This window comes from Homo sapiens, chromosome 17, assembly GCF_000001405.40.
Source record: "Homo sapiens chromosome 17, GRCh38.p14 Primary Assembly".
In the NCBI taxonomy this organism is placed as follows: Eukaryota; Metazoa; Chordata; class Mammalia; order Primates; family Hominidae; genus Homo; species Homo sapiens.
In genome coordinates this window covers 42618274-42630339 of record NC_000017.11, presented here as the reverse complement: position 1 = coordinate 42630339, position 12066 = coordinate 42618274, and the positions used below count along the sequence as shown (strand labels likewise).

Here is a 12066-nt window from a genome sequence, read left to right as displayed (position 1 = left end):
TCTCTACTATAAATACAAAATTAGCTGAGCATGGTGGCGCATGCCTGTAATCCCAACTACTCGGGAGGCTGAGACAGGAGAATCACTTGAACCTGGGAGGTGGAGGTTGCAATGAGCTGAGATCGCACCACTGCACTCCAGCCTGGACAACAAGAACGAAACTCTGTCTCAAAAAATAATAATAATAAATAAATAAAATGAAACCTTACGATGATTTCATTTTATATGTGTCTGGGTTTGCTTTTTCTTCCCCAGATGATGTGTTTGTTGGTTAAGCGTATGTATGGCACAAGTATATGTGATATGTTTCTTTCATTTGTATTGGAAAAGAATTAATTTTACCAAGTATTATTTATGTTCCCAAGTGATTGTTAGAATTGAGTAATGCAAACGACTGATAATAGGAATCTGGCTTCTACTCAACTTGAAAAAGAGGTATTGGTGCCAATGGTAAACTCCTTATCTGCACTAGCAGAGGGCTGGTATTGTACACATTTCCCTGAAACAGAATATCTAAATGGACTCTGTGTCCTTTTGAATGTATCACAATCTTAGAATAACAGACTCCTCTAGAAGCCGAACCCCTTATTTTACAAACCCCTAACCCCCATCAGACACAGGTGTTCCCCTTCCAGTTTTTCTCTCGTACCTTGTCCAACCTTCATTATAGCCCTAATCACACAGGTACATGATGAGTTATTTACATTAACACATAAACAATGGAATGAGCAATTCTTCAGCCATACTATATCTTGCTCATCTTTGTTGTCTTCAGCACTTAGCACAATGCCTGGAACTTACTAGCTACTCAATACATATTTGTTGAGCAACAGAATGATGAAACTGAGGCCCAGGGACAGGAAGTGACCTGCCCAAGATCACAAATGTAGTAACAACATTCTGAGAGACAGGTTATGATAACATTTTAATTACATTACATTGCTGGGAAACACATAGTAAGAAGCCAGAACAGAGCTGGATCTTGGAATAAAATTTTGATCACAGGTTATTGACAGAATTAAAATTAATGGCTGGGCACAGTGGCTCACACTTGTAATTCCAGCACTTTGGGAGGCCAAGGAAGGAGAATTGCTTGAACCCAGGAGTTTCAGACCAGTTTGGGTAACATAGTGAGACCCTGTCTCTACAAAAAATAAAAAAATTAGACAGGTGTGGTGGTGTGCACCTGTAGTCCCAGTTACTTGGGAGGCTAAGGTAGGAGGATTGCTTGAGTCTGGGAGGTTGAGGCTGCAGTGAGCCATGATCCTGCTACTGCCTTCCAGCCTGGATGACAGAGTGAGACCTTGTCTCAAAAAACAAAGGAGAAATTCACGTGACAATTCACAGCATCAAAAGTTGACTCTGTCGGCTGGGCACAGTGGCTCATGCCTGTAATCCCAGCAGTTTGTGAGGCCGAGGCAGGTGGATCACCTGAGGTCAGGAGTTCATGACCAGCCTGGCCAACATGGTGAAACTTCATCTACTAAAAATACAAAAATAGCTGGGCATGGTGATGCACATCTATAATCCCAGCTACTAGGGAGGCTGAGGCAGGAAAATCACTCAAACCTGGGAGGCGGAGGTTACAGTGAGCAGAGATCACGCCACTGCACTCCAGCCTGGGTGATACAGCAAGACTCCATCTCAAAAAAAAAAAAAAAAAAAAAAAGAGTTGACTCTTTCGTCTATCTTCAGAGTTTTATTTTTTTAATTCCTTAGTTTTGTTTTTCTTGCTAATGCTGTACCTTAGGAATGGTGGGTCCATGTTTGTAGACAAGAGAAGCCACCTTGGTTGTTTTTCCCATAGCTGGGAAAGGCTAGAACACAAGAAGTCCCAATTCTATGGAAGGGCAGGGAGATCTTTCCCTATCCCGAGGATCCATAGGCCTTCAATTGTGTTCATGATGAATCTTTGTGAGATGTATAGAATCATTTTTGGCATAGTTTGGGGAAGGCTGGTGGTAACCCCAGCATATGTGTGCATATGATGAGCATTTAGGCTTGTACCAAAATCAAGGCTGTATTTGATGAGGCAGAGAGGGTTGGAGTAGGATGTCAGCATGAGCGAATACCAGCTCAATGGTGGCTGCGGCCTTTGAGAAGGTCAAAGTGACCCAGGAAATGTAATCTGGCCAGTGGCCGGGTGGCAATTGTCACTGAGCTCAGCAGAGTCTTCCCTGAAGACTTTCCAGAAAATCTCTGCTCCAGGAGGCCTCAAGGTGCTGACTCTGGCTCTTCTACTGACAGCTGGAGTGTGTGTGTGTGTGTGTGTGTGTGTGTGTGTGTGTGTGTGTGACAGAGAGAGAGAGAGAGAGAGAGAGAAAGACAAGAAGGGAGAAGGAGGAACACAGAAAAGACGTGGCCTAGTAGACCTAGGGAAAGTTTTTTTGTTTGTTTGTTTGTTTGAGAGTCATGCTCTGTCGCCCAGGCTGGAGTGCAGTGGCTCGATCTCAGCTCACTGCAATCTCCCTCTCCTGGGTTCAAGCGATCTTCTCGCCTCAGCCTCCCAAGTAGCTGGGATTACAAGTGCACACCACCATGCCCAGCTTTTTTTTTTTTTTTTTTTTTTTTTTTGAGATGGAGTCTTGCTCTGTTACCCAGGCTGCAGTGCAGTGGTGCCATCTCGGCTCACGGCAACCTCTGCCTCCCTAGCTGGGATTACAGGCACCCGCCACCATGCCTGGCTAATTTTTGTATTTTTAGTAGAGACAGAGTTTCACCATGTTGGCCAGACTGGCCTTGTACTCCTGACCTCAAGTGAACCACCAGCCTTGGCCTCCCAAAGTGCTTGGATTACAGGTGTGAGCCACTGCGCCCAGCGGGAAGTCCTTTTCATCCGCTGTTCCAAGGTGTCAAAGTGGGCACTAGTGTCACCTAGGTGGCCATAGGGAAAGGTATGTAAGGTCTGCCCTAGACCCATAAGTGGGAGTGTCTGGGTGTGGGCAAGGGGAGGGTCCTGTGTCAGTCTCAGAGAGGAGCTCTGCCTTGATTGGTCATGATGAGCCTGCTGCCTGAGCTAGGTGGACAGGTGACAACAGCAACTGGTTGGACTCCCTCCCTCTCTCTCTCTCTCTCTCTCTCTCTCTTTTTCTCTCTCTCACTCACTTTCTTTTTCTCTTTCTCTCTCTCTCTTTTTCTCTTTCTCTCTGTCTCTCTCTCTTTCTCTCTTTCTTTCTTTTCTCTTTTTTTGAGACACAGTCTCACTCTGTGCCTAGGCTGGAGTGCAGTGGTGTGATCTTGGCTCACTGCAACCTCCACCTCCCAGGTTCAAGAGATTCTCCTGCCTCAGCCTCCTGAGTAGCTAGGATTACAGGTGCGTGCCACCATACTCAGCTAATTTTTGTATTTTTAGTAGAGACAGGATTTCACCATGTTGGCCAGGCTGGTCTCGAACTCCTGACCTCAGGTGATCCACCTGCCTTGGCCTCCCAAAATGCTGAGATTACAGGCATGAGCCGCCGTGCCTGGCCGAAGTGTCTTCATTTCTTACCATCAGAAATTGTGAGCATTAAGTTGGGATCCCAAGGATGGGCTTTATGTGTGGAGAACATCTTGAAATTGTTTGCAAATCTATGTGTCCATTTCTTTCCGGGAAATGTCCAAGCAGATTCTCAAACAGATCTGTGAATGAACAAAAGTTAAGAACTTTTGGTGTAGGGCAAAAGAGAAGGAACAATGCATTTATAGCGGCGTTGTGGTTCACACAGCAGGAACACAAGTGAATGGAGTCTGGCAGTGTAGTCATGCTCATTTTGATGGCCTAGGGCCTATGGATTAACAACTGCTACATCACCAGATAACAGTAGTTACATGTATCTCTGTGGGCTAGAGATAGTAGTCTGGAACCTTCTGAGTGAGCTGGTGGCAACTGTAAGGCAGTCAGAGAAATCAATACTGTGTAGGCCAGGCACAGTGGCTCACACCTGTAATCCCAGCACTTTGGGAGGCAGAAGCGGGAAGATCACTTGAGTTTCAGAGTTCGAGACCTGCCTGGGCAGCATGACAAAACCCTGTCTCTACTAAAAATCCAAAATTAGCCAGGCGTGGTGGCAGGTGCTTATAATCCCAGATACTCAGGAGGCTGAGGCAGGAAAATTACTTGTACCTGGGAAGTGGAGGTTACAGTGAGCCGAGATCACACCACTGCACTCCAGCCTGGATGACACAGCGAGACTCTGTCTCAAAATAAATAAAATAAAATAAAACAAATAAATTAAATTAAATTAAATTAAAAATTAGCCAGGCATGTTGGCATGTGCCTCTAGTCTCAGCTACTCGGGAGGCTGAGGTGGGAGGACGGCTTAAGATGGGGAGGCAGCTGGGCGTGGTGGCTCACGCCTGTAATCCCAGCACTTTGGGAGGCTGAGGCGGGCGGATCACGAGGTCAGGAGATCGAGACCATCCTGGCTAACACAGTGAAACCCTGTCTCCACTAAAATTGCAAAAAATTAGCCTGGCGTAGTGGCAGGCGCCTGTAGTCCCAGTTACTTGGGAGGCTGAGGCAGGAGAATGGCCTGAACCCGGGAGGCGGAGCTTGCAGTGAGCTGAGATCATGCCACTGCACTCCAGCCTGTGCAACAGAGTGAGACTACTTCTCAAAAAAAAAAAAACAAAAAAACGGGGAGGCGGAGGTTGAAGTGAGCAGTGATCATGCCACTGCACTCCAGCCTGGGCAACAGAGTGAGACTCCTTCTCAAAAAAAAAAAAAACAAAAAAACGGGGAGGCGGAGGTTGAAGTGAGCAGTGATCATGCCACTGCACTCCAGCCTGGGCAACAGAGTGAGACCCTATCTCAAAAAAAAAAAAAAAATACTATGCACATAAATACTATGCATCCAATGGAACATAGCCAGTAGGAATAGAGCAGTCACTATGGGGAGGTCACTAAACACAATTTGTTGTCAGAGGAAACAGAGTATTAGGATATTCTCAGGCCAGATTCAATTTATGCCTCACAAGAGGGCCAAGTCACAAGGATTTCCAAGGAACCACACTAGACTTCAGTTTAAGGTTGTCTCCTGGCTCGGGGTAGGTGATCCTCTTGAGCCGTATTGCCTATGGTTGTGTCTTAGAAGCAGAAGTAGTAACCTGGCCTTCTTAAGCTCCGTGACCTAAACTCCATTCTGTTCATCTCTACTTCATCCCTTCCGGGTACCCTGGGGACCTAGTACCTTTCTATACCATCCCTGTGGCCAGTGTTATCTGTGATTCATTTCCATCCTTGGGGCCCAGGCTGATGGGGTACTCTTTTTTTTTCTTTTTTTTTGAGACTGAGTCTTGCTCTGTTGCCCAGGCTGGAGTGCAGTGGCACGATCTCGGCTCACTACAACCTCCACCTCCTGGGTCCAGGCGATTTTCCTGCCTCGGCCTCCCAAGCAGCTGGAATTACAGGCGCATACCACCATGCCCGGCTAATTTTTGTATTCTTAGTAGAGATGGGGTTTCGCCATGTTGGCCAGGCTGGTCTTGAACTCCTGACCTCAGGTGATCCACCCACCTCGGCCTGCCAAAGTGCTGGGATTACAGGCGTGAGCCACTGCACTCAGCCAGGTATTCCTTATAGAGCCATTTCCATAACTTGAAATCTATGTGGGCACCACAGAAAATTTCAGGGAGCAAATTTCTCTAGGTTCAGAAATCCTAAAGAAGGATGGGACGTAGAGAGAATGGGAATTCTCAGGGAGTACTGTGTGTGTCAGGGGAACGAAGACGGACAGCCTTCAAGTCTTTGGGTGAGATTTAGGGCTGTTTGGTCCAGTGTTTGCCTCATTAGCCCAGTTGTAGGTTGAGGATCACCAAGGACCTCTCTCAGCTCCTCACCACCTCCTTCTGGCCATCTCTTGACCATGGCTGTGCTTCTGTGTCATTGCAAAGTTGTCTTAGAGGAACACATCCAGTTGGCAACTTTTATTCTGTGGGTGACCTTCCAGCTGTGCTGGTTCTGACCGCACCCTTTTCCCGACTGACTTTGCAGGTCAGGCCTTGGAACTGCCATACCTTCCACTGATAATCTGTTTTACGCAGCTGTCTGCAGATCCAGTTATGACTCATGACTATTATTTGATCTGGCAGGATGTAGAATACTTGTAGTCACCAGTTTGTTTCCATTCAGGTGCTAATGGCATCTTGTATAATGTGTCCATTGGGAAAATTTCCAAAGTATCAAGTATCAGAAATTCAGCTACATCAAGCCATTTGGTTTCTGATACTATAAGCTATTTGGTGTAAGGATCTTGGAATAGGCCAGGCCTGGTGGCTCACACCTGTAATCCTGCTACTTTGGGAGGCTGAGACGGGCAGATCACTTGAACTCAGGAGTTCGAGACCAGCCTGGGCAACATGGCAAAACCCTGTCTCTACAAAAAAATACCAAAAAAATTAGCCAGATATGGTGGTGCATGCCTGTAGTCCCAGCTACTTGGAAGGCTAAGGCAGGGAATTGCTTGAGCCCAGAAGGTCAAGGCTACAGTGAGTCGTGATCGTGCCACTGCACTCCAGTCTGGGTGACAAAGCAAGACCCTGTGTCAAAAAAAAAAAAAAAAAAAAAGGGGGAATCTTGGAATAGCTTATGTTATGCATGAATTTTAATAAGTTAATTTCTAGTTGGAGAAATTACATCTTTTTTCCCCATTTTCCAACTCCTCTCTGAAAACAGTCTAGGATTAAAGTCTCAATATTCCTGATCCAATGTGGTCAACACATTAATTTGTCCTGGGGTGTGCTTTTATTTGATTATGTGGCAAATCTCTTAATGTCTTCTTGTTAATGAAAAGAGGAGGAGTAAAAGTTATGGCCTTGACATCATTTTTTCATTTGTTCAACAAATGTTTTTTGAACAGCTACATTGTGCAGGGCCTGTAGTAGATAACAGGGAAATAGAGATAAAGACACTGTCCCATCCCATAAGACATTATCCCACCTCAGCCCCCCAAGTGACTGGGTACAGGCGTGTGCCACCACACCCAGCTAAGTTTTGTATTTTTTGTAGAGACAGGGTTTCACCATGTTGCTGAGGCTGTTCTCAAACTCCTGGGCTCAAGCAATCCCACTGCCTCGGCCTCTGAAAGTGCTGGGATTACAGGTGTGAGCCACTGTGCCTAGCTGGACAACTTATGTTTTGCAACATTTTATTTTGAATTTGAAAAAACAAACCAAAGCATATGATTATATGCAAAAATTATATTTATGTTCAGCAGTCCATCCCTAGCATTTCGAGTATTTATTCATCACTTTAAGAGTTTCATTGAGGCCAGGTGTGGTGCCAGGCACCTGCAGTCCTAGCTACTTGGGAGGCTGAGGCAGGAGGATTACTTGAGCCCAGGCATTTTTTTTTTTTGAGACTCACTCTTGTGGCCCAGCCTGGAGTGCAATGGAGCGACCTTGGCTCACTGCAACCTCTGCCTCCTGGGTTCAAGTGATTCTCCTGCCTCAGCCTCCCAAATAGCTGGGATTACAGATGCCCACCACCATGCCTGGCTAATTTTTGTCTTTTTAGTAGAGACAGGGTTTCACCATGTTGGCCAAGCTGGTCTCGAACTCCTGAAGTCAGGTGATCTGCCCACCTCGGCTTCCCAAAGTGCTGGGATTACAGGCTGAGTCCAGGAATTTGAGGCTGCACTGAGCTATGATCATGCCACTGCACTCCAGCCTGGGTGACAGTGTGAGACCTTGTCTCCTAAAAATAAACAAACAAAACAAACAAACATAAAAACAACAAAAAAAAACTTTTGTTGAGATACTTTATATCCATTTGTATTGCATATTAATGTATACAATTGTATATCATGAATGTATATTTTATAATACTTGTACACTAACTAATATATTATAGAAAGTTCATTTAGAATGTTAAGTTTTCTTGTTGGTCATGGTATGAAAAATATTGAGCTTGTTTCTTTGCTTGCTATTCTTTTGTAGTTCTAAATTTGAATCAAATATATCCACTTTTTTTTTTTTTGAGATAGAATCTCCCTCTGTTGCCCAGGCTGGAGTGCAGTGGCACAATCATAGTTCACTGCAGCCTTGAACTTCTGGGTTCAAGCAATCCTCCTCACTCCAGCCTCCTGAGTAGCGAGGAATACAGGCACCTGCCACCAGCCCTGGCTTATTTTTGTGGAGACAGGGTCTCGCTATGTTGCCCAGGCTGATCTCAAACTCCTGGCCTCAAGTGATCCTCCCGACTTGGCCTCCCAAAGTGCTGGGATTACAGGCATGAGTACCCAGCCTCCACTTGTTTTTTGAAATAACCCTAAACCCTCATGTCTCCCATAGTTTTCAGAAAGAGAGTAAAAATCTGTCTGAAATAAGAATGTATTGATCTCCACCACCAAGCAGTTAGATTTCTCCTTCTGTTCTGTTATAATCATCTCTGTTTTTCATATCTACCTTATTGTCATTTACCATCTGTGGCCACTTTACCTCTAGCTTCTTTTCCTGTTTACTCTTCTACTTATTTACACTTAAAATATACTTGTTTCTGATTATAAAAGTAATACATATTAATTATAGACCATTTGGAAAATATAGAAAACAAAAAGAAAGGCCAGGTGCAGTGGCTCATGCCTTAATCCCAGCAATTTGTGAGGCCAAAGCAAGTGGATCACTTGAGGCCAGGAGTTTGAGACCAATCTGGGCAATACAGTGAGACCCCATTTCTAAAAAAAAAAAAAAAAATTAAAATTAGCCAGGTATGGTGGCACCACCTGTAGTCCCATGTACTTGGCACACTGAGGCGGGAGGATTGCTTGAACACAGGAGTTCAAGGTTACCATGAACTATGATTGTATCACTGTACTCCAGCCTGAGTGACAGAGCAAGACTGTCTCTAAACAACAACAACAACACCCCCAAAAACCACTGAGTGTTTTTTCATTCAAAAAACTGCCAATTTGCTGATTTACATTTTAAGCCAGCTTCAGACAAAGTATCCTAAAACACAGATTTTTATTTTTTTTGAAACAAGGTCTTGCTCTGTCACTCAGGCTGGAGTACAATGGTGTGATCTCGGCTTGCTGCAACCTCTGCCTCCTGGGCTCAAGTGATCCTCCCACCTCAGCCCCCCAAGTAGCTGGGACCACAGGTGCACACCACCATGCCCTGCTAATTTTTGTATATTTTCTAGAGACGGGTTTTGCTGTGTTGCCCGGGCTATTCTCAAACTCCTGGGCTCAAGCAATTTCACTGCCTCAGCCTCCCAAAGTGCTGGGATTACAGGTGCAAGCCACCGCACCAGCCCTAAAACACAGATTTCATCATGTCCCTTCTCACTTAAGAACCTGCAACTGAGGCCAGGCCCAGAGGCTTATGCCTGTAATGCCAGCGCTTTGGGAAGCTGGGGCAAGAGGATCTCTTGAGGCCAAGAGTTTGAGACCAGCCTGGGCAACATAGGGAGACCTTGTCTCTACAAATAATTTTAAAAATTAGCCAGGCATGGTGGCACGCACCAGTGGTCCCAGCTACTTGGCAGGCGGAGGCAGGAAGATAGCTTCAGCCAAGGCTGAAGTGAGTCATGATTGTGCCACCCATACTCCAGCCTGGGCAACAGAGGGAGACCCTGTCTCAAAAATAAAACACAAAAGGCCGGGCACAGTGGCTCATGCCTGTAATCCCAGCACTTTGGGAGGCCAAGGCGGGTGGATCACCTGAGGTCAGGAGTTCAAGACCAGCCTGACAAATATGGTGAAACGCTGTCTCTACTGAAAATACAAAAATTAGCTGGGTGTGGTAGCATGCGCCTGTAGTCCCAGCTACTTGGGAGACTGAGACAGGAGAATTGCTTGAACCTGGGAGGCGGAGGTTGCAGTGAAATGAGATCGCGCCACTGCAGTCCAGCCTGGGTGACAGAGCGAGACTCTGTGTCAAAAAAATAAATAAATAAAACTCTCCAAACCAACAACTGCAATTCAGGTTGCATCACCTCTGAGCACTTCTTAGTGGGTGTGGAGGAAAGAGTGTATTGATTTGGTGCCAGAGGACATGAGGTCTAGTGTGTCTTTTATGTACCAGCTGTGTGATGTTGGACAAATTACTTACCCTCCCTAAACCGATTTCCCTATGATGATAAATGACGAAAAAAACCTCCCTCAGAAAACCCAGATAATGAATGCATGTGCAGGTGCATCATGCAGGGTAAAACACTATCCAAATGGTAACAATGCTATATCACCCCTCTAGTAAAAGTGGGAACCCCTTTAGGTAGGGTCCATTGTGAAGCTTAGTGCTGAGCAACTCAATCTCCGTTTTTAATAAATCCTTGCTTAATTCATGAACAAATATCTACCAGGCCTTAATTCAGCCCTGATTATTTATATGTACTGCTTTGCGATTTTCTAATCATTCTCCGTGGTGGTTTTTCATTTAGGGTGACCAACTGTCCTGGTTTTCCTAGGACTAAGGGAATGTGAAGATTTCTGGGGGCGGGGGGGTTGTTCTTATTTTATTTAATTTTTTGTCCCCATCATGGAATGTTTCTTTTTTTTTTTTGGAGTGGCCGGGGTCTCACTCTCTTGCCCAGGCCGGAGAACAGTAGCGTGATCACAGCTCACTGTCCTTGACCTCCCGGGTCAAGCGATCCTCCCACCTCAGCTTGTGGAGTAGCAGGGACCACAGGTATGCACCACCATGCCTGGCTAATTTTAAAACTTTTTTTTTTTTTTTTTTGAGGTGGAGTCTCGCTCTGTCACCCAGGCTGGAGTGCAGTGACACAATCTCAGCTCACTGCAACCTCTGCCTCCTGGGTTCAAGCAATCCTCCTGCCTCAGCCTCCTGAGTAGCTGGGATTACAGGCCTGCCAGCACACCTGGCTAATTTTTGTATTGTTCATAGAGACAGGGTTTCACCATGTTGGTCAGGCTGGTCTCGAACTCCTGACCTCAAGTGATTCACCCGCCTCAGCCTCTCAAAGTGCTGGGATTACAGATGTGAGCCACCGCACCTGGCCAAATTTAAGTAAATCTTATAAGTGATGTATTAGTAGTTCAGAATGTCAATTTCAAATATTTCTGTTACTTTCCTAGGGCAGCCCCTTCCCTGCTTGAGATACCTGAGAAGGAATGGAAAGGGAGCAAGTGCTGGAGGTGGGCATTACTTGGGGGTGGGTTACATGTTGGATTTCAATGGACTCTCCACTGAGGAGCCCATTTACTAGGGAGATCTAGAATGTTTGCAACTGGTAGAGACCAGGATAAGGCTTAATGGACTGACCCACCAACTCTTTGTCCAGTGTCTCTGCTCGCCACGTGCTCCCCACCCACCGTGTGTGCTCGCCACCTCTTCACGTCTCACTTTCCAAAGTTACAGCTTCTAAGTTTCAGATTCGTTTACACAGCTCTATTTTTGCCTATGAGCTTCCTGATATAGATGTCCGTGTCATGCATGTTTGAGGGTCCCTGGGGTCACATCACACTGAAGTCTAGGAACATTAGCTTTAAACAGCTAATTTTCTTTTATTTAGTTGCAGAGAAGTTCCTATTCCAGGCTTGAGCACTGGCCAGCCTCCAGGCTTTCTGTTTCTGCAGCAGTCCTTGTCTCTCAGCGGGGACAGTCTCTTCTGTGGCTTACAGTCTCTCAAACCACAGGGACTTTTCACTACCAGCACCACCTGCTGTCCTGATTCCCAGAGGCCTCCCTCCCTTTCCACCTGGCCTCTGAGCTGCCCTCTAGTTGACACACTTTGGGGTTTGCAGGCTGGCCAAGAACAGGGAGGGGCTGCCCTGGTTTGGGGTGATGGGTGATCTGGAAATAGCCTTGGGGGAGGGATCTGGTTCTGAAGTTAGCACCGAAGGCTTTGTCTGTGCTTAGAATGCCTGATACTTAGCCATCAGGAAAAGGAGGTGTCTTTGCAGCTCCATTTTTCCCCCCAGGGCATGTATTCACCCCTCTGGGTTGGTGGCTGTAGTACTAACCAGACATAACTTTTATTCTGGACTACCTGGTGTTTTCTCCTGCTCAGGGCTTTACGTGCTACTTAACTGGATCCTCCAAAAGAGGGCCTGGGGGTTGCTTATGGCCTGGAGGTGGGCCAGCTGGCCACTCACATACAGCAGCCTCGCTACTTGTGCCAGCTTG

The 12066-nt window shown here is 46.0% G+C and overlaps 2 annotated features.

Moving 5' to 3' along the window:
* Nucleotides 3603-3952: a transcriptional cis regulatory region, noted in NCBI's record as "candidate enhancer chr17.2672 targeted for multiplex CRISPR interference". NCBI's record gives its function as "positively regulates TMEM106A gene expression in K562 cells {active_cell/tissue: K562}" and the evidence as "EXISTENCE:mutant phenotype evidence [ECO:0000015][PMID:30612741]".
* Nucleotides 11301-11440: an enhancer, noted in NCBI's record as "active region_12212". NCBI's record gives its function as "activates an Ori minimal core promoter by ATAC-STARR-seq in GM12878 lymphoblastoid cells {active_cell/tissue: GM12878}" and the evidence as "EXISTENCE:reporter gene assay evidence [ECO:0000049][PMID:35858748]".